Genomic DNA, 23,660 nt, shown 5'->3' with positions numbered 1-23,660 from the left:
TGACGATGGCAGGGGTAATGGAAACCCAGATCTTGAGGGCCAAGTCTCATCCCTTAAAGAACTGCTCAGGGCCAGGCGCCGTGGCTCATGCCTGTAATCCCAGCACTTTGGGAGGCTGAGGCGGGCGGATCACGAGGTCAGGAGATCCAGACCATCCTGGCTAACACGGGGAAACCCCGTCTCTACTAAAAATACAAAAAATTAGCCGGGCGTGATGGCGGGCGCCTGTAGTCCCAGCTACTCGGAAGGCTGAGGCAGGAGAATGGCGTGAACCCGGGAGGAGGAGCTTGCAGTGAGCCGAGATCCCATCACGCGCTCCAGCCTGGGCGACAGAGCGAGACTCCGTCTCAAAACAAAAAAAAAAGAACTGCTCAGTACCATGTTAATCCCATTTCTCATTTTCTCCACCCAAGATTCTTTTCTTTTGTTTTTGTTTTTTTTTGAGATGGAGTTTCGCTCTTGTTGCCCAGGCTAGAGTGCAATGGCGCAACCTCTGCTCACCACAACCTCTGCCTCCTAGGTTCAAGCAATTCTCCTGCCTCAGCCTCCCTAGTAGCTGGGTTTACAGGCATGCGCCACTAGGCCCGGCTCATTTTGTATTTTTAATAGAGACAGGGTTTCTCCATGTTGGTCAGGCTGGTCTTGAACTCCCGACTTCAGGTGATCTGCCCGCCTCGGCCTCCCAAAGTGCTGGGATTACAGGCATGAGCCACCGCACCGGCCGATTCTTTTCTTTCACATGTCGCTCTTTCTACTCTTTTTCTCCCAACTTAACAATTCTCATTCTCTCACCTCTGTAAGTTATAGTTACCTGGTCTTCCTAACCACCTACTCATTTTCTCTATAATTATTAAGATCTGCAAAAAATTCACGAGTCCTAAGATATCTTCCCAGACAAATCTCACTGCCCTGTGATCACTCCAAATTCTGTGTTCCTTTATTTGGATATAGTCAACTGGTGGGTCTGGCAATCCCTAACATATGACAAAGATGACAACGTTCCTTCCTTTCAGCCACCAGCAAACCTAGCATTCACTTCACACACCATCCTTTCCAGGTCCTAACCTCCACGGGGGAAGAATCAAATCACCTTCATTTTTATATCCCCATACCTCCCCAGAGCTGGGCGTGTGCTAGGTACCTAGCAAATGCTGACTGAATAGATGAGTGTGGTCGTCAACCTCCTGGAGTTCCAACACAAAAGACTTGAGCTCCTTTAAGAGTGAGTCACGGCTGGGCATGGTGGCTCAGGCCTGTAATCCCAGCATTTTGGGAGGCCAAGAGGGAGGATCACTCGAGCTCAGGAGTTCAAGACCAGCCTGGGCAACATAGTGAGATCCCATCTCTACAGAAAAACTATTAAAAATTAGCCAGGTATGGGAGCACATACCTATAGTCCCAGCTACTCAGGAGACTGAGGTGGGAGGATCACTTGAGCCTGGGAGGTCAAGGCTACAGTGAGCTAAGACTGTGTCACTGCACTCCAGGCTGGGCAACACAGCGAGACTTAGTCTCAAAAAAAAAAACAAAAAAAAAAAACAAAGAATAAGCCACAGTTCAGGAGATTCTCCCAGGAGTGTCCCCATCTGGCCTCACATCCACATTCACACACACACACTCAGCCCCTGATGAAATTCTCTTTCCCAAAGTTCTCAACCTGCCTTGCCTCATAAGGACACCACTGCCCTGGAGCCTTGTCTCTTCTGAGAGGTCTGTTCAGCATTCCCCCAGATCAGCCACCTGTTCCCCTGTGACCTTTTCCTGGAGTGTCTTCCAAGATGACAGCCACTGTTCAGCCTAACATAGCACACTCTCCTACATCAGCAAAGACCATAACTAAGCCTCTGTCCAATCTTCTTCCAACTTCCTGTTACTCAAAGGAACTAATTCATTCATTCATTCCACAAGCAGCTACTGAGCCTCTTCTGCACATCAGGCACACATTCAGGTGCTAGGAGGCAGCAGTAACAAAGCTGCCTCTACTCCCTCCCATGGAGCTTTCAGTCTAGTGGGGGACGAATACATTCCCCTGTACCCTCCACATTGGACACCCTTGGCTGGCTTTTGACAAGCTACAGAGCAGGGCCTCAGTCCAATCAAGTCACGATCTCTGACTGTGGGGCACAAGCATGTTGGTGATTCTAATGGGGGACCCAAGTAGTGAATCTTTTAACCCTTCCATCTAAAAAGGAAACAGCTGACATAGAGTCCTGTCAGCAGGCAAGAAAGCAGGAAGGATGGCAAAACGAGCAGGGCTCCCAGGAGTGGTTTCCTGAGCAGTGGCAATTTCCAGACATGAGTCATCTGGGCCTTCATAGATGCCTAAATGGCCAGTCCCGCCTCCAAATTATTCATTTCACATTTTCAAGCTTGTTTTGAAACTTTGGTTTATCTCAGTTATATTATTGTTAGCATCTAGTGAAAATGATGATACAGCTGGATAAAGATAGAGATCGATAGATAGATAGATGATAGATAGATAGATAGATAGATAGATAGATGATACATAGATAGACAGAGAGATAGTGATAGAGATAGAGATCTATTTTTTTTTTAAACAGAGTCTCGCCCTGATGCCCGGGCTGAAGTGCAGTGGCGCAATCTCAGCTCACTGCAACCCCCGCCTCCCGGGTTCAAGCGATTCTCTTGCCTCAGCCTCCCAAGTAGCTGGGATTTCAGGCACCCACCACCACACCCAGCTAATTTTTGTATTTTTAGTAGAGACGATGTTTCACCACATTGGCCAGGCTCCTGGCCTGAACTCCTGACCTCAGGTGATCTGCCCGCCTCGGGCTCCCAAAGTGCTGGGATTACAAGCATGAGCCATTGTGCCTGGCTGAAAATATTATTTTTAACATTAAATTTAATGTCCTTATTTCTAACAAGATGACTAAAGAGCCTACACTATGGACACACACAAAAAAATCAGTTCAATAGCAACTGATGAGAGGAGAATCTAGGCCCTTGTGAAATTGGAAATCATGTACACATTGGTTTTCTATTTTTATTAAAATAACATGCACTGAAATACATTTTAATTTTAAAAATGCTATTTTCCTAAAGCCTTTTGATTGGTCATAGGGCAGGAAAGAATGTTATCTAAATGAACCAGAACTCAACCAGCACAGCATTTAAATATATTTAACACTGTAGCTACTCATTTAAAAGCCTGCTTTTTTATTTTATTTTTTTTTTTTTTGAGACAGAGTTTTGCTCTTTCACCCAGGCTGGAGTGCAATGGTGTGATCTTGGCTCACTGCAACCTCCACCTCCCAGGTTCAAGTGATTCTCCTGCCTCAGCCTCCCAAGTAGCTGGGATTACAGGCACGTGCCACCACGCCCGACTAATTTTTGTATTTTTAGTAGAGACAAGGTTTTACCATGTTGGCCAGGCTGGTCTAGAACTCCTGACCTCAGGTGATCCGCCTGCCTTGGCCTCCTAAAGTGCTGGGATTACAGGCGTGAGCCACCGCCCCCGGCCAAAGCCTGCTTATTATTTAAAGGTTTGTTTGTACTTTTCTTCTAGCTGTCTTCTGATTTCAATCATTAAGGTTACCCTAGACCCTTTGTAGCAAGACCCTTTGATGAAGACTAGCTGACCACAGAGACTCTTAATGGTGGGGAAAGAGAGAGGATTTAGTGACAATCAAAGGAAATCTTCGAAAGGCCACAAGCCTGCAATTGCTGCCCCTATGCAGGTTTTTGAGACAAGGTATCCCTCTGTTGTCCAAACTGGAATGCAGCGGCATGATCGTGGCTCACTAGTCTCAAACTCCTAGGTTCAAGCTATCCTCCCACCTCAGTCTCCTAAGTAGCTGGGACCACAGGCACATGCCACCATGCCTGGCTGATTTTTAAATTTTTTGTAGAGATGGAATCTCCCTGTGTTGCCCAGAGTGGTCTCGAACTCCAGGCCTCAAGTGATCCTCATGCCGCAGCCTCCCAAAGTGCTTGGATTACAGGTATGAGCCATTGTGCCTGGCCCGCGTGGAGTTTTAATTCAGGTCCCTGAGAGGTATTTTGATGTTGTGTTGGGATCACATGGTTATTTAAGAAAGAAGTAACAGTTAATGATGAGAATTGTAGCACACCAGTCTCCTATGCCACTTGTTCAAGAAACCCAATTCACTAAGAAAATATGGGCTGCTCCAATCATTTTGGTTTGAATTTGCTCTGCAGAGACAACGCTACAACCCCTTACCACCTCATTCACTGAAGCTAAGAAGGAAAACATTAAGAGGGAAAGAGTAATTCCACAAGAAAGGAAAACATTGAAAAAGAAAACCAACCAGTCTCAAAGTTTTTTCATAGTGACAACATTCATGCATGATATGTATGATCGAATAAAACACATCACTTGGGGTTTTTCCCCTCCAAAAGCTCATACAACCAGTACACACATGTATACATTAAACAAGATATGAACATCTAAACTGATCAGAAAAACTAAGTCACCCCGGAAGTAAACTTCAGCGAGAGAAAAGTGCACGACACTTTCCCTGCATGAAGTTATGCATATGCATGTCTCATAGACAAGCCTGCACTGAAACAGAAACCCCAGCACTCATACTGTCCCCCAAAGTACAAACGTTTTATTCTCCCCTTTCTCAGGTCAAAACTAAATATTTCAAGAAGTAAAATGCCTTTTTAGCCAACAGAGTAAATCAAATACAATATGGGATGAGGTCTACCAATACTCAACACCACAAAGGAGGCTTCTTCTCTAGATGGCAGTAAACAGCACAGAGTAAGCTATTTTGAAAATACAGGGAGGTAAAGTGAAGCATATTTGCTACCACAAATATAGGGATCCTGGAAGGCTTCTTCCAAAGAAACTAATAACTCTGGTGAATTATCACTTCCTGAAGAGAAGTGTGAAGCAGACAGCGTTGGTCTCTACTCTTGAGGGTCCACAACAGACGTGGCAGCAGGAAAGACAGGCTGTCTGTTCCCGTCACCAGCCTGGTCCTAAGCTTTGTTACTTAACAAAACTGAATGAAAGAACCCTGTCTTCATAGACGTTTCTTAAGAAAACCTCACTGGCTGGGAGTCGTGCAAGTTGACAAACTTACCTGGTAATCGCTTGCAAGCCTGGAGAGCTACATGCCCTGGCAAATCCAATCTGCACTTTTTCCAATGAAACGTGGTGGCTGCCAGGCCGCTCATCACCTACATCTGCTTAGATGATGAGGAAAAAGATGTGGAGGAAGTGGACAACAAAAGCAGCCTTCGAACTGCACACTGGGATGTCCTGTGTTATTTTGGGTTTTTTTTTTTTTTTTTTTTGGTGGCTTTTATTTTTCCCATGAGAGGATCTGACTAAACCTAACCCCACCTCCTCTAAACACCAGAGAGGAAGTTACACTTTGTAGTCAGTGAAAACTCCTTAGGCAGGTTTTTTGTTTTTTTAATAGTCACAACTAAGGGCCTCTATTCATGTTCCTATGACAGAGATTATAACTTTGCTTCCTGTTTTGACAGTATCAGCTGGGAAGGGGCACTCCACCCACCTCCCTACCCACTGCGTAGATAAATAAAGATGTTAGAAGGCGTTTGCCCTGGGTATACAACTGGCCTTAGGAGTTTCGTTACATATTAACTATACTTCAAAGAATAAATTGGACTTATTATTTCACTATAGTAGTTATACACACCTTGGGGAAGTAAAACTGAAAAGGATTTCTTCTTCATCCCTTAGAATTCGCTACTAGGGAAAAAATAAACTTAACCATATGCAGCTATAAGAGAAGAGGCCACCATTTAGACAAATTTTTCCAGCCTATTCTCTTTTGTGGTCACCTTGCTCTCTTTATTATCATTATTTTTTTTTCACTCGTCACCCAGGCTGGAGTGCAATGGCATGATCTCAGCTCACTGCAACCTCCGCCTCCTGGGTTCAAGTCATTCTTGTGCCTCAGCCTCCCAAGTAGCTGGGATTACAGGTGCCCACCACCATGCCCGGCTATTGTGTGTGTGTGTGTGTGTGTGTGTGTGTGTGTGTGTGTGTGTGTGTTTAGTAGAGACGGGATTTCACCATGTTGGTCAGGCTGGTCTCGAACTCCTGCTGTCACTTCTGCATGTGTCCACCACATACATGCAAAAAGCAAGGAAAATCATTATTCATATGATCACATCTACTTTCTAGTCCTTCTCTCATTCTTTTTCTTGCTTGTTGTGAAATAGAAATCTTCTACTTATTAGCAAAGACTTTTCATAGAATATGTATCTTTGTCAGGATACACACAGGTTTGAATTCAAAGGTGTCTCTCATCCTGCTACTGTACTATGATACAGAAAAGAGAAACTAACAGTACCTCCCCTATGCTCCTCCTCCTCATCTCTGCATTTTCCTTAGACTAGTAGCTGTATGACTCTGGCAAAATACTCTCTCTCTCTCTCTAAGCCTCAGTCTCCAAATCTGTAAAATGGACGGGCTGACTTCACCTGTCTTCTAGGACTGTCACAGGGAGGGAGACCGGGAAAAGCACAGTGATACAGATGATGTCCCATAGTCAATACCCATTGATCTTTTTTTGCATCAAACTTTATTGATATATAATTCATATATTATACAATTAGCTCATTTACACTGTATAATTTAATGATTTTTAGTATTGTCAAAGAATTCTACAACCATCACCACAATCGACCCCCATCCCTTAGCCCAAGGCAACCACTAAAATCTACTTCCAGTCTCTATAGAGTTACCTATTCTGTACATTTCATATAAAAGAAATCATACAGTATATGGTTTTTTGTGACTAGCTTATTTCACTTAGCATAATGCTTTTGAAGTCCATGCATGTTGTATTATGTATGGGTATTTCATTTATTTTTAAAATATTCCATTGTATTGATAGACCATATTTTATTATGTATTTATCAGTTCATGAACATTTGGGTTGTTTTTATCTTTCAGCTAATATCAATAATTCTGCTATGAGCATTTGTGTACACGTTTTTGATGTGGGCATACATTTTCATGTCTCTTGGGTGTGGCGGGTGTGTGTGTGTGTGTGTGTGTGTGTGTGTGTATGTGTGTACCCAGAAGTAGAATTGCTGAGTCATATGGCAACCCTATGCTTAACCTTTGGAAGAACTGCCAGACAGCTTTCCAAAGTTGCATCCTTTTACATTCCCACTAGCAGTGTATGTGGATACCCATTTCTCCACATCCTCACCAATATTTGTTATTATTTGTCTTTTTTATTATTGCCATCCTGCTGGGTATGAAGTGACATTTCACTGTGGTTTGATTTGCATTTCCTTAATGGCTATCGAAACCCATCTTTTATCCATAGCCCAAAAATGTCATTTCTAGAATCAGGACTAAATATTCAAAATACAGAACAGCCAGTGAGGCGTGGGCACCACCTAGTCAGAACGGATACTGGCTACAATGCTGAAGTGAGGTCCTGAAGGTGTCCATCTTTAACAGTGGCTATTTTCCAATAGGAATCAAAGACTTTCAACATTGTTCCTGGTACAGCTGTATGGGTTCATACCAGCTAAATATTGCTGGCCTTCATACTTCTATCTATAGTAAGAGGCTGTGAAAGAAGTTGGCCCTGCTTCCTCTACCAAAGGGTTCTTCTGAAAACTGGTAAGGAAATGAAATTCTGAATGTAAATATGACATTTCAATCTTTACAAATCAGTTCTTTCCACCTGTCTTTATGTGTCTTCCTCTGAAATAGAAACAGGCACAATAAAAGCAGCCTTTTGTCAGTAAATAGTCATAACTGTTTATAGGAAGAATTGTTAGACCAGATGTGATTTAAGATTAAGGATCTCAAATTTTGAAGGTAGCCAAGGAAGACAAGTTAAAATTTAGACACTAGCAACAATTTCTCCTTCCCTCTCAAAAGTGCAGTACTGGGAGAATAGTAATTATTCAAACAAATCAACATCAAAGAGATCTTTTTTTTTCAGACCTTACTGTGTTTGAGCAAATTCATGTACAATGATGTTAATTACCTTTTTCCTAAAACATTCTATCTTAGGATTTATTTTTTGATCCCCCCAAAACTAAACAGAACAAAAACTATACAAAGTACAACAAAGAAAATATCAGAAGGCTATTAACTTTAAAAAATAAAAACTTTTTTCCTTATTTTTTGATGTAAGGCCTTGGGCCTTGCAACATGTATTAATAATATGACTCATCCATCTTCTAAAAAATTTCCCATGTCCCAAGGCTATACTCTGTAATCCATTGTCTTATTTATTTCTTGCCGTGGAGCTGACTATGAAATTGACCGTTGAACTTTCATATGTCAAATAGAACTTTCCATAGTGGGAAACTTCTAAAACATTCATATTAAGCTAAGTGGAAATATCATGATAGCTCAGGAGCAAACAAGGTCTGTAACAGCCAATATAACTTCCAAACTAGATTCTATGTAGGAAAAGCAAACCATTGAACACACACAAGTGCAAAGGCTTCATTGAAGTTTCTGTAAACACTTGATGGTGAGGAAAATCAGAAGCTAAAATCAGTTTATCTGAAGATTCTTCTAAAAAGATCAATAGGGGGGCGCTTTTGAAAACTGTTGTGCAATGTCAGGACCCACTCTATTCACAGATCCATTCTTCTGCTAGATTACACGGTGGCCTCATTTTCTAGTTCTTGTGAAATCAATAGACCATTTATGTTGCAAGTATCTGTCTAGGGTATGCGCTTTCTTATTCAATCTAGTGTTGACAGCAGTAATCAAATTTTGTTCATACCACTAGCTCTATTATAGCTCAATAGCAACTGGCTGCCAGCCTAGGTCTACTCTCATCAAAAAAGGAAAGAAAGAATTGGAGTGGAGAGAGAATTACAGAACAAATTAGCTGAAACTACAGGAGGTAATGTTGAAGTTAGAGAGGGAAGCAAAGGAATTCAGAAACTAATCCTCTCTCCACGGAGGAAATATACACCCAGCAGCATCAGCCCCACAAAATCCAGGCAAGCTGACCTTGGCCATGAAGGGTACACATCTTCTTCATTCTTCCCTGTTATCTGTAAACCTTCTTGGCTTTGAACATCATATTATAACTGTCAGTCCTAACTAATACAACTATACCTCGCCCTGCAGAGCTACCAACAAGAACTAGAGCCAAACCACACCCTCCAACACCAGGGAGACTAAATGCAAAGGACAAGTTATGGCACTTCCCATGAGCTCTCCATTTTATAACTCTTCTTTTTTTTTCTCTTGAGACGCAGTCGCAGTCTTGTTATGTCGCCCAGGCTGGAGTGCAGTGGTGTGATCTCAGCTCACTGCAACCTCCGCCTCCCAGATTCCAGCAATTCACCTGCCACAGCCTCCCGAGTAGCTGGGATTATGGGTGGGCACCACCATGCCCGGCTAATTTTTATATTTCTAGTAGAGACGGCTTTCACCTTGTTGGTCAGGCTGGTCTCAAACTCCTGACCTCAAGCGATCTGTCCACCTTGGCCTCCCAAAGTCCTGGGATTATAGGCGTGAGCCACCACGCCTGGCCTAGAACTCTTCTTTATATGATTACGCTACAGTCAAGCATTTTTCTCAGATCAGAATATAAAAAGATAATCTTACAATAGAAACCAGGTCAGCTTTTTTAAAAAGAAAAAATTGGGAGGGGGTGAAGGCCTGACTGAAATTCTACTCGATTTGCACTTCTAGACTTTGAATTCTCCTAGAAAACTAGACTTCTGCTCATAGATACTCTCTACCTAAAAGCATCATGAATGATACTGTTCCCTGATATGACAAACACCTCTTTTTCTTATTTTTCAAAGTTTTATCTTGAAATAATTTTAGACTTATAAAAGAAGTGGTTAAAAAAAAAAGAAAAGAGTACACAGAGTTCTCATGTTCCCTTCATCCAACTTCCTCAAATATTACCATCTTACATAACCAGAGTACAATGATGAAAACCAGACAATTCACATAGATGCAAATCTATGAACTAATCTATAGGTCTTTTTCAAATTTCTGCAATTGCCCCCTTTTTCTGGTCTACAATTCAATCCAAGATCACATACAAGCAATACTTCAAAAATTCAAGATGCATCCTTTTCAATGAATCATGCCTATCTAATGAATATTTCTGACCCCTCCTAAAGTTCTACTTCCCTTCAGTGTTAATGAGGCAGTGTCATCATTAACTTTTGAGTCTTTCCAGAAATGTTCTTTTCTTCCATAGATCTTGCCTCCATTTCTTATCAGTCAGTTTCATCAACCTTATCCTGTAAACACATGTCAAAGAGTTTCACAACCTCTTTTCCAAAACCCTAGGGCCAGAGGTGCTGCTGAACCAGAACTCTTCCCATTTGAGAAAAGTTATATAGCACAAGTCATATATTACAGTGAAAACAAAAAACAGCAAGATCCAGGGCAATTTCCCCTAATCAAACACATTAATAGCCCTGCAGTAAATACATATGTTTATGAAGGATGCCTGACATACATAAGGACTTTAAAAGAGTCCCAGCTGTTCAAGTCAGGCTTCAACACCAAATGAGTTCAGGTCAAACTCAAGTTTTCTTGCCAAATGAACTACAAATAAAACACCTTCTGGTTTTCGGAGGTCTTCTTCAATAGTGTAGCTACAGATGAAGGATGATGAATCTGTACCTACGAAATCCACAGTTTCATCCATCTCCCGCCCACCCTCACCACATCTTCTACCTGGTCTCCTGGCAGAGCCACCTGCAATGTTCCCTGGGCCTCTAGGGGCTCTTCTCTCCAAATCACTCTCCTACAGAGCCCAGAGTGATCTTTCTATTAACCTGCACCTGCCCAGCTTCAAAATCCTTAAAGGTTTCCCATGCGAGGATGGAGTCTCGTCTGCTTCATGCAGTTCACACAGCTCCCTACAATCAGAACTAAGTCCCATGACTATACTGATCAACTACACGGCACCCAAGAAGAATGCAAAAATGAAAAAGGCATCAACTGTCCTCAAGAGTCTCACAATCTAATTAACTCCCCTTAATATCTTCATCAGAGTAATATTGTTTAGAATACAACTTATCCAATAATCAAAGAGCATGTCGGGTTTTTTTTTTAACCCATTTGTGTCCAGCTAGGAAATTCTACCTCAGTTCTTGATCACAGCAATGATTATAAACAAAACTCTTCATGTTGACATTAAAAGAATTTTCACATGATTTTAAAAGCACATGTCTAAAAATACTCATTATGCGACTGTTGGTATGGTTCAAAAAATTATAAAAAGCAAAAGCCAATAAAAACTGTTTTAAAAACAAGCAAACCCAAAAAAGTAATGTCAAGGATGGTACTTCATGGGCTGAGTGATTTCTCATGAAATTGTTTTTCCAAAGCATGAAGATATAAATAAAATCTGAAATCATGCCTTTGTTTCCATATGAGTATACTAATGGGATTGAATGACATTATAATCAACAGAATTAAGTCAGAGAGAGTTAAATCGAAGCCGCCATCATCAAAGAGCTTAGAAAATATTCCAGGCTGGGCGCAATGGCTCATGCCTATAATCCCAGCACTTTAGGAAGCTGAGGCGGGTGGATCACCTGAGGTCAGGAGTTCGAGACCAGCCTGGCCAACATGGTAAGACTCCATCTCTACTAAAACTACAAAAATTAGCCAGGCGTGGTGGCGTGTGCCTGTAATCCCAGCTATTCAGGAGGGTGAGGCATGGGAATCACTTGAACCAGGGAGGCAGAGGTTGCAGTGGGCTGAGATCACACCACTGCACTCTAGCCTGGGAGACAGAGCAAGACTCCATCTCAAAATAATAATAATAATAACAATAAAGTATTCCAAACCACACGGAGCCAGACCTCAGACATAGATCTTAAATAGCTGCCAATAAAAGCAGGGAAATCATATTTAAGTATTGGTTTCATTTTCTAATGTGGAAACAGACAAAGACACCTACTTGGAATGATGAATTAAAAAGAAAACTCCTAGAAGTTGTATTTCAGGATTAAATTATAACCTTTCTCAAGAAAGCTGCATGCAAGTAGTGAGATTAAAAGGGAGACAATAATCGCACCAAAGCCCTTAATGAGGAGGTAAAGAGAGGTAGTAATAGGGGCACACAGCTTCTCCCTCTACCAGGAGATAGAAGGAGTAGATAGAAGGAGTGTGCTAAGAGGGGAGAATTCAGGGTTTCCTCCCAGGGTGGCCCTCCTCTCACATGTGTGTGTGTGTGTGTGTGTGTGTGGTGTGTGTGTGTGTGTCTGTGTGTGTGTGTCTGTGTGTGTGTGTCTCTGTGTGTGAGTCTGTGTGTGTGTGTCTGTGTGTGTTGTGTGTGGCAGGGTTTCTCACTGGCAGTGTTGCTTCTAAACAGAAGTGGCAGCTGTCTGGAACCCAGTGGGTGAGGCCTCCAGTGGCTGACAGCGATCTGCAGGAGAACAGAAAAACACTACATGGAAGCCAAGTGATGCCACCACTTGGTAGAAACAGGGTCCAATCTGCCAGGGCCACAGGCGCAACCCTACATGACTGGCTGCTTAAAGCAGTCATCCCTGGGATGGCCCTTCCAGCTTAGAACTTCTCACTGTAGTGGCAGGAATGAAGGCCAAGAGTTCTTCAGGGAGGCAAGAATTGTCATTTAAGGCAACAGTGAACGAAATTGATAAAAACAACCCAAATACTTCAAAAAGAAAGGAATTTTAAAATATTACTTTAAAAAAAAAAGAAAGAGGGAGTAATTTTTCTGGACTGTCTCCATAATCTGTTTTTATAAATCAGGTGGCAACCTGCTGGGCTGTGGAACAAAGGTCAGCAAGTGAGTTTTCTCGAAGCACACTTGCTGTCATAGTAAGGAAAATTTTTCTAGTTTCTAGTGAGCTCTAGAACTTTCAAGCTTCATGGGAAGGTGTGAAGAAGAGACACCTAGAAATTATTCTTTGGTGTTGGCAGGAAAAAAAATGTGTCCAAGTGTCCTACAGGGCCACCAGCCTATGAACCCCAATGTGGTCTTCATAATATTTTGTTCCTTGGTCACCTACAGTCACAATCTCTACCTCAGAAAACTTGTGCCACTGCCTGTCTTCTGGCTGGCTCTCCACAGGTGAGTGTGCTGACGTCCCCAAGCCCTGAAGGTTGTTTACTGTCATTCAGCTTGCCCGTGGCGATGTCGGAGTCTGGATTGAAGTTCCCACCATATCAGGATCACCCTCCATGAGGCAACACTTTCCCTACCTACAACCTGTCTTCCACTGGCCACCACCTGCCGCAGCCCAGCAGACACACCTGTAGGCATCTCAGCCCTGATCACAGCATCTGTGTGCTTCCTCTTGCAAATGCCCACATGCAAATCTGAGGATGTTGGCCACTCAGAAGATGTGGGTATTAACATGTGTGAGTCATCTGTAGATCCTGCCGCAGCTGGTACCACACAAAGATAGTCCTGTCTAAACTATGGGCACACCCACCCACTCTCATGTGTCCTATCTCTACTTGGGAATGAGACATAATCATCTACTTGTGACAACTTAGAGCCAAGAGTGAGGAGACAATGAAGAATATAGGTGTTCATTAGACAGAACTGATGCTGAGGAACTGACCAGAGGTATTTCAAATCAGCTCCAGGGTTTCCAAGATGATATAAAGACAGTTCCAGGATGATATTAAGAGGTGGTCAGGTAAGAACTAGAGAATTCAAGTCACAATTATCACTTGAGAGTTTATTTATGAGCCACGAGATTCAGCAGTGGGTTCACAGTGCCAGAGTTCCTGGAAAGAGCATTTGAGAGAGCCAGGCAGCTGATAGGTTTAAGCAGTGCCTACTCTGTTCCATGCAGTACAGCAGTGAAAGAGCCGGTTCCCAGGCCAGGCAAGGCAAGTGCTATAGATGGAGAGTTGAGGGACCTGCCATATCATTGCCTCAGGAATCGGGTTCAACTACGGAGGCAGGTCAGAGCATGCCAAAAAGGGGAAAGGAGAAGTCAGAGGCTGAGGAAACAGGTGGGAGTGAGTGCTGCAGAGGCAAGACAGGCACAAACAACCTGTTATTAAAATGCTCTACAGAGTTGCAAAGGAGCGGGTGGCAGATGGGAGGAGGGAACTCAGAAACAATGTCAGAAGGTACAAAGGAGAAAGGGCGATCCAGAAATAAGACAAGAACAAAGCTGGGCTCTCTTATTCCAGGACAGTGGTCAACAAGCCATTCCTGAGTTTGCAAGTCAGGACCACTTATGTGCCATTTCACATTAAACTTCACTTTCCATGAAATTTTTCTCTGCCAGAGAATGTCCAGTAGTAAATCTGTCTATCTATAAAAGTATAAATAAATTAAACATGGCAAAGTTGGTTTTAAATAAGGAATGTTAGACTACCGTAACTTTCTGGAGGTTGTCAATGAACTATAGTACTGGAACTACGGATGTTCCTACTTGATCATCAGGATATAATTTGGTCTGTATTCACTTTTAGAGATCTCTGAACTTCAAAGTTCGTTCAATTTATTTTCACTGATGCCTTCAAAATTCTTAAAAGTTAAGTTGTGTCAATATTTCAACTCTCACTTGAAAAATGAGGTTATTGAGGTTTCAGGACACAAAGTAAAACACCAAATTCGTGCTGTGAGTGGATTTAAACCTCAGGGCCAGCTCCCAGCTATTGAGCCGTTCCTTCAGCCATAGCATGCATCTTGCAAAGCAGCTCCCTGGCTTTCGAGAGCATTGCCTGAACCAACATGAAGCCTAGAGATGTCAAAGTTATGTTTATGAAAGTAAATGATACTATGCAATACCTCCTGTCTTCCTCAGTCATAGCCAAACAGCAAATGAAGCCAAGAGGAAATACATGTTCCTCAATAGCAGTAAGGTTCCAGGTATCAGGTGGCGGCAGCAGCTGCTGAAAGCCTGTTCCACTTCACCCCTCCCCTAGAACCCCAAACTCGGGCACAAACCCACGCCTCAAACTCTTGAGGCTGCCCGGATTATGAGTCTTTCGGCGACAGATGACAGAGTGACGCAACACTACCACTCCCGGGGGCGCTAAAATCATAGCCTTGACGGAACAGGAAGGTGGTTACTCTTCACAGAAGCTACTAATCTGCTGCCCCCACCCTGCCTCACCACCCCCACCCCCCCCAAACACACACCGGAAAGAGGGAGGAGGAAAAGGAAATGAAAGCAAGTGACTCTAGGGTCTGGATTTCATATGCAAGAATAGCCAGCAACAGGTGCAGCATTCCGGTGAAATTAAGACACTCAAAGCACCATTTGCCTCCACAGCATAAAGAGCCCAGGCACAGAAACCCAACATTAGGCAATGATGTCAGAAGTGCAAATCATCATCATTCTCTAGCCAGCAGCAATTTTGTAGGGAAAAAAATAAAAGGGCATTTGTCTGTTGATACATAATTTCTTTTAATTTAGGAGTCCTCTCTTAAAATAGTTTGAAAATAATCTTAGCATCGATCATCAATGTACTTTTTTAATACCTAGTGACTATCACAGTGCCTAGCACATAGTAGGTGGGTGGATAAATATTTACTGAACGAATGAATAAAATGAGATATTTACTGAACGAATGAATAAAATGAGAGGTAAACAAAAAATTTTCTTCACAAATAAAGATAACCAAAATCTACACTAGTATATAAGTGTATCTTTTTCCCCATTTCTCCAAGAACAGAACAAAAGGTTGGAATCAGTAGCCAAGGACACTGGCTTCATCATGTTGTTGATGAACACATCAGGAGATGCAAACCGTCCACCCCTGGCTGAAACTGAGAAGCCCGATCTGCCACCCCTTGGGTGATCTATGCAGGGAATTCTCATCTGCAGAAGATCCAATGGGAAAAACAATCACAATCATTTAAGCAATCCACCTTTAGATTTTCCTTTCTTTCAATGTGCCATTTCACATAACATTTTTTTTACCTGGCATTATAAGAGAATTTACAAGATAAGTGTTGCTGTATGATCTTCTTCAACATGACAGAAATCATCAACTCATAATATGTTATGGAAAATGTCTTATACTGTGTGTGACATGCTATATGAAAAATCTGAATGTGAATAAGACGGTATAGAAATGAAGCTATTTTATGGGCTCTAAAAACTGACAGAATCAGTAGAGAACAAAGAGCAATAAAAATGAGCCCATCAATGGGAGAAGGTCTGTTATGGGAAGACTGTATTGAATTAAAAGGTTAATATCAGGCTGAGCTCAGTGGCTCATACCTGTAATCCCAGCACTTTGGGAGGCCGAGGTGGGTGGATCACCTGAGGTCAGGAGTTCGAGACAGGCCTGGCCAACATGACAAAACCCCATCTCTACTAAAAATACAAATACGAAAATTAGCCACGTGTGGTGGTGGGAGCCTGTAATCCCAGCTACTTGGGAGACTAAGGCAGGAGAATTGGCTGGAATCCGGGAAGTGGAGGTTGCAGTGAGCCAAGATCGCACCACTGCACTCCAGCCTGAGTGACAGAATGAGACTCCATCTCAAATAAATAAATAAATAAATAAATAAATAAATAAATAAATAAATAAAAGGTTAATATCAGCATGAGAACATTACTGATTACGTAAGTTGAAAGGTTTCAGTAAGTTAAAAATAATGATATTAATTATAAGAATAAAGTGTTCAAAGCACAGATAAGAGTAAATCACCAAAATTATCAGGTTTTAGAGAACTGAGAATATACATAAAAAATAGTGTCATAAATAACTTTACAAAATTACTATTAAAAACGGTTTGACTTAATGATACTCTTTGTTCAATTTTTTTAATCTATGAATTTTTCTTGTGTTTGTAACTTAAGTATTCTGAGTAGGAGTTCTCTCTTCCCTATATATTCAATTTAAAGAATCCTTAGATTTTTTCAAGTTAACTTCCAAAGATCCAAAATACTCCCACTTTGTTTTACTTTGAGGTAATACCCAAAGGTCTTGACTAGGGTTCTTAATGGAGATCCTAAGTGGCTAGTTAAGAATTACCTCAAATTTCAAAGAATAAACAGGAATAGCAAGTCTATTACAAATGCTTTTGTTCTTTTAAGTGACTCCGCCTTTTCATTCATTCATTCACTCATTCATTCATTCACAAGGATCTATCATCCCTACAGAACAGGCACCGTACAAGGCACTATGGACACAATCGTGAACAAGACAACCTTGGTCCCTGCCCATATGGAGAGCACAGTCTTGGGGACCTATCAACACTAAAGTAAACAAACAAGTGAACAAAAGCAATGAGCAATGGTGACAAGTGTGGATGGTGGAGACAACAGCACAAAATCTACTTCAGGTGGGTGTCAGGACAGGCTTCTCTAAGCAGGTGCAATTTCATCCAATGCCCAATCCCAGAAGGAGGAGAAGGAGATAGCCAAGAGCTGGGGGCCGGTATTCCAGGTGGAGGAAAGACCCTGTAAACAGAGGTTGTTCCCAGAGCTGAAAGCTGACCAGTGTGGCTGGATGGGGCAATGATGGACAGTGAGCAAGGAGGTGCATTATACATTTGAAAATGGCATCTCACCATATGATTCACTGAATATTTGCCTTTCCAAACACTTTCTCCTCAGCCTGGAATTCTTCCCTTCCACATTCCTCTCTACCACTTTGCAAGTCACTTCTCTGGGAAACATTCCTTGACCCTCTGAGGAAGAGCAAAACTCCGGGAGTTTATCCTTCCTGACCTGTGGTCCCACAGCACATAGTATGTATCATGAGCACACGTCTTACCACGCTGCTGAATCGCTGCGTTTGAAAGCCTGCAAGCAGAGATCTTGCTTGTCTGCCTCCCAGCAGCCTATCACGTAACTTGGCACCAGCAGAGAGAAATAAATGACAGTGAACGAACCAAGAGATAAATGGACAAATTAAATGGATGCAGGGGCACTAATTAACTACTCAATTGTTGGAGATTTGGAATAGCGCCAAGGTTACAGCTCCTTAACTCATTTACAGTTTAATTTCTACCCCATATGACTTTCATACAACAGACACTTTTCGGTAAATCTTTTTCCATCACGGAGAAGTGATGGAATAACTTTCATAGCGTATCATTAGACACTGGACCCAATCCATTCATATTCAACAAACACGCATTAAGTGCCAAGTTCTGTGCCAGGCTCTGAGGCTGACAGTGGTCCTATCCTAGATGATTTACAAGGTTAGTAAGCAAAATAAATCATATTTAGAAAATGTTTTTAATGACTGACCTTGTTAGATTCTTTACATGTAACTATCTTATTTCATGACATTATTTAGAAAAAACGTCTTTTAAAAACTTCCTAGGTCACCCAGAGGACAAAATAATTTAGAATCTGTTAACTCAGTAATTTTCACACTAATTATTGGCGGAGAGTCATGCCTCGGCTTCCTTTCAATGAACAGGTGGACAAAATTTAAGTAGCCACATTCTCAATGAGTCTTTACCTGCCTGTGACTGTCTGCCGTCTCCGTTTGTGGATTCAGATCTCACTTCCATTTCTCGTCGGCTCAGCGTGTCCTCCAAATGTAGTTAAGACTCCCAAACCAACAGTGCATGATTTCTGAAGTCACAAAGGGATGTGTACCCCTCGGCTGGAGAATGTGCTTTGATGGAGTCAAATTGAAAAACAGGGCCAAACAGTATGGGAACCGTGGATAGATGAGTTCCTCCCCAACTGCCCGGACCAGAATGGTCACATTCCTGCCTCTGTGAATAGCCCAATCCTGGTCTGCTCTGTCTGAGCCTCTGCCAGGTGTGGAGCCTGTCGCCTTAAAATCTGAAGACGTGTGACAACACTTATCTGCCTAGGAACAGCAAGGTATGCATTTCTACAAACACCACTGTTGAAACTGCTTGGTATACAGAGAAGCCAAGCACTTCCTCTCTTCTCAGGTTTTCCTTAGATTCAAGCCAAATAGAAATCTGAGTGAGGAAAAATGTTAAGGAATTTAGCTTTAGAAAAATTTGTTTTTATGTTTCTAACTCTTGCAAGAGAGCTTGTTCTCATCAATTTTATAACCTATTTTTCAACCTACATACTCCAGACTAATTCCTAATGCTTTTAGGGATCCATCCATTAATGCACTAAATAATACATGCCCTCAAACTAAGAGGTAAACCATGCCCCTTCAATCAGGATAAGAAATACTACTGAGTGAAATGCAGACTGCATCTTTCTGCCAATTTTAATCCACAGCCCTCTGCTCACTTCACTCCCAATCACCGGCCTCAATCAGGCTTTCTGTGGGCCAAGTTCTGCCAGCTTAGAGCCTGCACACAGCTCTGCCTTCAGCCAGTGCCCTCCACCACCTTGAACTATGGACTTGAATAGATTCCTCAAGAAGGCCTTCCCTGACCACTCAAACTATCACTCATTCCAGGTCCCTATGAAGTCCCCGAGTGATTTGCCATGACAGCACTGCAGAATGTCTACCCTCTAAGCAGTTAAACAACTATTTGTATGCTCTGCAATTTGATGTCTGGTTCTCGTACTAGTCTACACACTCAAGAGGCCAGATGCCATCATAGAGCTCATCAGTTTTGTCAACTACACCCAGTGCAGTGCCTGCCATATGGGGCATTCACCCAAGACTACTTTCCATTTAAAATTGTTGTCTCTTTTGAAACACTCTGTGGCACACTGCTGCCACTGCTGAGGTTTAAGGAAACAAATACTCATTTTAAGCCATCATCTTTATCAGGGGTTATTACCAGGCAGGGGGTCCATGAACTTGGACAGGAAAAGCAATTAGATCTTTTCACTGACCTCTAACAGAAATTTGCATTTCCTTCCATTGTGATGGCAGATCACAAAACACATTATTAGTGGTAGCTTTGACTGTGTCACCAGCAAAAATCATAACCATTTTCACATCACCTTACAACTCTAGCAGGTATCTTGAAAATACCATTTGGCTCGTTGTTATTTCAGAAGAGTAGAGAGGTTAGAGATGCTAGAAGTTCTTACTGAACACACTAATGAAACAGCAAATACTACTCTCTCACAGACTTTTTCAGTATTTTGGTAACTGTATGCATGGAATACCATGTACTCTATTTTATGCATTTAAAAATATTTGTCAGGCTGGGTGCGGTGCCTCATATCTGTAATCCCAGCACTTTGGGAGGCCGAGGCAGGCGGATCACAAGGTCAAGAGATCGAGACCATCCTGGCCAACATGGTGAAATCTTGTCTTTACTAAAAATACAAAAATTAGCTGGGCATGATGGCGTGCGCCTGTAGTCCCAGCTACTCGGGAGTCTGAGGCAGGAGAATCGCTTGAACCCGAGAGGTAGAAGTTGCAGTGAGCCGAGATCGCCCCCCTACACTCCAGCCTGGGTGACAGAGTGAGACTCCATCTCAAAAAAAAAAAAAAAAGGCCAGGTGCGGTGGCTCACACCTGTAATCCTAGCACTTTTGCAGGCCGAGGCAGGGGGATTACCTGAGGTCAGGACTTCAAGATCAGGCTGGCCAACATGGTGTAACTCCGTCTCTACCAAAAATACAAAAAATTAGCTGGGTACAGTGGCTTGCAACTGTAATCCCAGCTACTTGGGAGACTGAGGCAGGAAAATCGCTTGAACCTGGGAGGCAGAGGTTGCAGGGAGCCAAGATCGCACCACTGCACTCCAGGCTGGGCAACAGAGTGAGACTTTGTCTCAAAAAAAAATTTGTCTGGCTTCACTAAACTGCCAAAGGAGTCTATGGGGGCAATGAAGGGGGGATGAAGATAAAGAATAAAAACCCTGATCTATTAACAGATCACTATCATGAGATATAAACATCTGATGCACCAAGAAACAATTATATTTTGTTCTGAATGAATGTATTTTTACTCATTGTAAAAGGAAATAATATTTCCTTAAAAAGACTTTGCAAAATAAACAAAATTAATAAATTAAGATACTATTTTTAAAACAAATAAAGATATTTATTTCCTTGGTTTTAATACAAAACAACTCTAAAAGAAGAAATTCCCAAGAGACATTAACAAGTTTAAGAGTTACTTAACAGCTCAACTATTAGACACCCCTGACACTCCTAAGAATATTCTTGATTTGATGAAACTTCTGGTAACACCTGGAAGCTTAAAGTCATTTTCCTTTGTTTCATCACCTCTCTAAAAAGTTATCGTTCCTTTGTTAAGATGCTAGATAAGCCCAGTTCTAACCAACCCTTTGAATTACTCATGTCTGGGTACTCCCATGTGTATGCACTACGCATATCTTAATAAACATGTTTGTTTTTCTTTTGTTTAAAAAAAAAAAAGGAAAGAAACTTCTCTCCCTTTTTTCTAGAAAGACTCATCCTTGAACCATCAAGGCCCTGGGCTTGCAAAGGGAGGATAGCAGACAGGTGGGGTTGCGATAGTAGACAGGTGGGGTTGCGGAATGTATTACACTCCGATTTCCCTCACAGTGTTGTCCTAGTTCTAGCCTAGCAGTTGGAAATTCAGCCCCATCTAACTTCCGTTGTTTTTTGTTTCGTTTTGCTTTGTTTTGTTTTGTTTTGTGTTTTGAGACGGAGTTTCGCCCTTGTTGCCCAGGCTGGAGTGCAATGGTGTGATCTCGGCTCACTGCAACCTCCACCTCCCGGGTTCAAGTGATTCTCCCGCCTCAGCCTCACGAGTTGCTAGGATTCCAGGTACCCGCCACCATGCCCAGCTAATTTTTGTTATTTTTAGTAGAGACGGGGTTTTGCCATGTTGGCCAGGCTGGTCTCGAACTCCTGACCTCAGGAGATCCACCCACTCGGCCTCCCAAAGCGCTGGGATTACAGGCATGAGCCACCATGAGCAGCCCAGTCCCCTTACTTCTGTAACAACTCTGTGAATATATGCACATAACCACCGGAAAGAGTTATAATTAACACCTTACTATGAACTACTTTAATCAGCCAACCATTAAAATCCAGGGAAAAAAGAGCTTTGATGAGAGGCGAAAGGCCGAGCCTGGAGGGAGTTAGGCCAGTGGGCAACACCCAGGGGCTGCCTCAGCAGAAAACAGGCTCAGAGAAGACACCAAAACCAAGCTCTGCAGAACCTCAAGGGCAGCCAGCAGGCCCTGGTTGCGTTATGTGGGCTTCTCTGGAAGAATAAATACCACAGCATTTCTTTTACACAAATTAGGACAGGTTCTGACCAGTTCAGTTCAGCAGCTCCAGTTACATTCAGGAGCTTTCTCACTCTCTCCCGCCAAAAGGAAAATGCGTAACAGGAAAAGAAATGATCCTGGCACCCCTCCTCCTTCTCCTCCTCCCATTTCCCCTCTCCTTCACCCCCTCCCTGTTTTCTGTCTCTAAAACTTAGACTCCAAGCCAAGGTCGGCCTGATCTGTCTGCTTTCATCCACAGGCGTCACATCTCTTACAGAATATTCACAAAACCCCCTCGGCTTCACACAGCAGACAGAAGCCTAAAATCCCTCCCGAAACATCCCTTCTCAGGTACAAATCCACCAGACGAGCATCAACAACGGCATGAGATTTGAAGGAAAGTCAGAACTGTCCTTCAGGTCCAGGTGGCCTAGAGACGCAGAAAGAATGCCAAGTTTGGACCCCTAGTCATCTCATAGGAACAGGTGCATCTTGAGAAAATCATTTTCTCCCTCCTTGAGTGGGATTCCTCAGGGATAGGGGAAAATAACTGGACTGGTTGGCCCCTTAAAGCATCTACCAGATCTAAGATTCTGTGAGGGTCCGTGTTACCACAACAGCCATCCATGGTTGCAAGTGATGGAGAAGAGCAGAAGGAAGCCACTTACTATTAAAAGTGGTGTATCAGCCAGAAAATGTTGGAAAGAGACCATTTCAGCTTGAAAGTCGGCTCGCTCCTAGTATTCATTCAGGATTCCAAGTTCCTTGCATTTGTAATTCATTACTAGTGAGCTAAATATACCACAAGTGTAAAATGTCTCAGAGAAAACACTCCCATCATCATCAGCAATATGGAAAATACATGGCCGTCACATCAGAGGAGAAACTTGCCTCAAAATAATTTGGATATTTACAGCCACACACACAATGTGATGATTTAGATGATTTCTAAAGCCATGAAGCTTCTCAGGCCTGGCAGAAAGTATAAAAAATATTAGGATGACTATGCCTAACAACAGCAAGAATTTGGTGCTGAGAAAAGAGGGCTACTAAAAAAAAAAAACTAAGGGACCATGTTATTCACAGAGCTTTATGAAATTGCCAAAAAAAGTAACAGTACAGCATTTTCTGTACTATCAATAAAATGTTTTAATAAAATGATTTCTACAGTCTATCTCATTATATATTTCTCAATTTTTATCCAAGTAATAAATGCACTTAAGTTTGTTTTCAATAAAATAAGATGATAACACAATGCAGCAGGCTTGGGCATCCCCTTTCCTCTGTTATCTGTTTCTTCTGACAATAGATTATGCATTTCTAAATACTATGCTTATAAACTCCTTCCTGATTGCAAGTCAGACATTATCTATAAGACTTTTTTTACTTATCACTTTTATATCCACTCTTCCAATCTCTACTTGAGATCTTATTTCTGATATCACACTTTTAATTTCCAAGATCTCTTTCTTATTCTCTGATTTTTTTTTTATCACATTCTGTTCTTGTTTCAAAGACACAATTATTTTCCTACTTCTCTGAGGATACAGGCCACATTCCTATTTCCCCTAAGTGGCTCCTTCCTTTTGTTTGTGTTAATATAAGGTCTACTGGTGGAGGCTTTCAAACATCTGCTGACTCCTAGCAGCCCCT

The 23,660-nt window shown here is 42.2% G+C and overlaps 1 protein-coding gene across 1 annotated transcript in view, besides 8 other annotated features; it reads right to left on the bottom strand.

The window, feature by feature from the left end:
- UTRN (utrophin) overlaps nucleotides 1-23,660 on the bottom strand; it is a 567,700-nt gene that overhangs the window by 503,658 nt on the left and 40,382 nt on the right. The gene's annotated exons all lie outside the window — the stretch shown is intronic.
- Nucleotides 89-198: an enhancer, noted in NCBI's record as "active region_25219". NCBI's record gives its function as "activates an Ori minimal core promoter by ATAC-STARR-seq in GM12878 lymphoblastoid cells {active_cell/tissue: GM12878}" and the evidence as "EXISTENCE:reporter gene assay evidence [ECO:0000049][PMID:35858748]".
- Nucleotides 3,342-3,842: an enhancer, noted in NCBI's record as "H3K27ac hESC enhancer chr6:144666671-144667171 (GRCh37/hg19 assembly coordinates)". NCBI's record gives its function as "activates a minimal SCP1, AML or CMV promoter by ChIP-STARR-seq in primed H9 embryonic stem cells {active_cell/tissue: H9 hESC(primed)}" and the evidence as "EXISTENCE:reporter gene assay evidence [ECO:0000049][PMID:30033119]".
- Nucleotides 3,843-4,343: an enhancer, noted in NCBI's record as "H3K27ac hESC enhancer chr6:144666170-144666670 (GRCh37/hg19 assembly coordinates)". NCBI's record gives its function as "activates a minimal SCP1, AML or CMV promoter by ChIP-STARR-seq in primed H9 embryonic stem cells {active_cell/tissue: H9 hESC(primed)}" and the evidence as "EXISTENCE:reporter gene assay evidence [ECO:0000049][PMID:30033119]".
- Nucleotides 7,197-7,256: an enhancer, noted in NCBI's record as "active region_25218". NCBI's record gives its function as "activates an Ori minimal core promoter by ATAC-STARR-seq in GM12878 lymphoblastoid cells {active_cell/tissue: GM12878}" and the evidence as "EXISTENCE:reporter gene assay evidence [ECO:0000049][PMID:35858748]".
- Nucleotides 7,277-7,416: an enhancer, noted in NCBI's record as "active region_25217". NCBI's record gives its function as "activates an Ori minimal core promoter by ATAC-STARR-seq in GM12878 lymphoblastoid cells {active_cell/tissue: GM12878}" and the evidence as "EXISTENCE:reporter gene assay evidence [ECO:0000049][PMID:35858748]".
- Nucleotides 7,437-7,616: an enhancer, noted in NCBI's record as "active region_25216". NCBI's record gives its function as "activates an Ori minimal core promoter by ATAC-STARR-seq in GM12878 lymphoblastoid cells {active_cell/tissue: GM12878}" and the evidence as "EXISTENCE:reporter gene assay evidence [ECO:0000049][PMID:35858748]".
- Nucleotides 17,446-18,645: an enhancer, noted in NCBI's record as "BRD4-independent group 4 enhancer chr6:144651868-144653067 (GRCh37/hg19 assembly coordinates)". NCBI's record gives its function as "activates an origin of replication core promoter dependent on BRD2, P300/CBP, MED14 and CDK7 cofactors, and independent of BRD4, by STARR-seq in HCT116 cells {active_cell/tissue: HCT116}" and the evidence as "EXISTENCE:reporter gene assay evidence [ECO:0000049][PMID:35650434]".
- Nucleotides 22,021-22,765: an enhancer, noted in NCBI's record as "H3K27ac-H3K4me1 hESC enhancer chr6:144647748-144648492 (GRCh37/hg19 assembly coordinates)". NCBI's record gives its function as "activates a minimal SCP1, AML or CMV promoter by ChIP-STARR-seq in primed H9 embryonic stem cells {active_cell/tissue: H9 hESC(primed)}" and the evidence as "EXISTENCE:reporter gene assay evidence [ECO:0000049][PMID:30033119]".

The sequence above is a fragment of the Homo sapiens genome, chromosome 6 (assembly GCF_000001405.40).
Source record: "Homo sapiens chromosome 6, GRCh38.p14 Primary Assembly".
Classification (NCBI taxonomy): domain Eukaryota; kingdom Metazoa; phylum Chordata; class Mammalia; order Primates; family Hominidae; genus Homo; species Homo sapiens.
The sequence above is the reverse complement of the archived record's forward strand: the minus strand, read 5'-3'. Positions and strand labels throughout refer to the sequence as shown.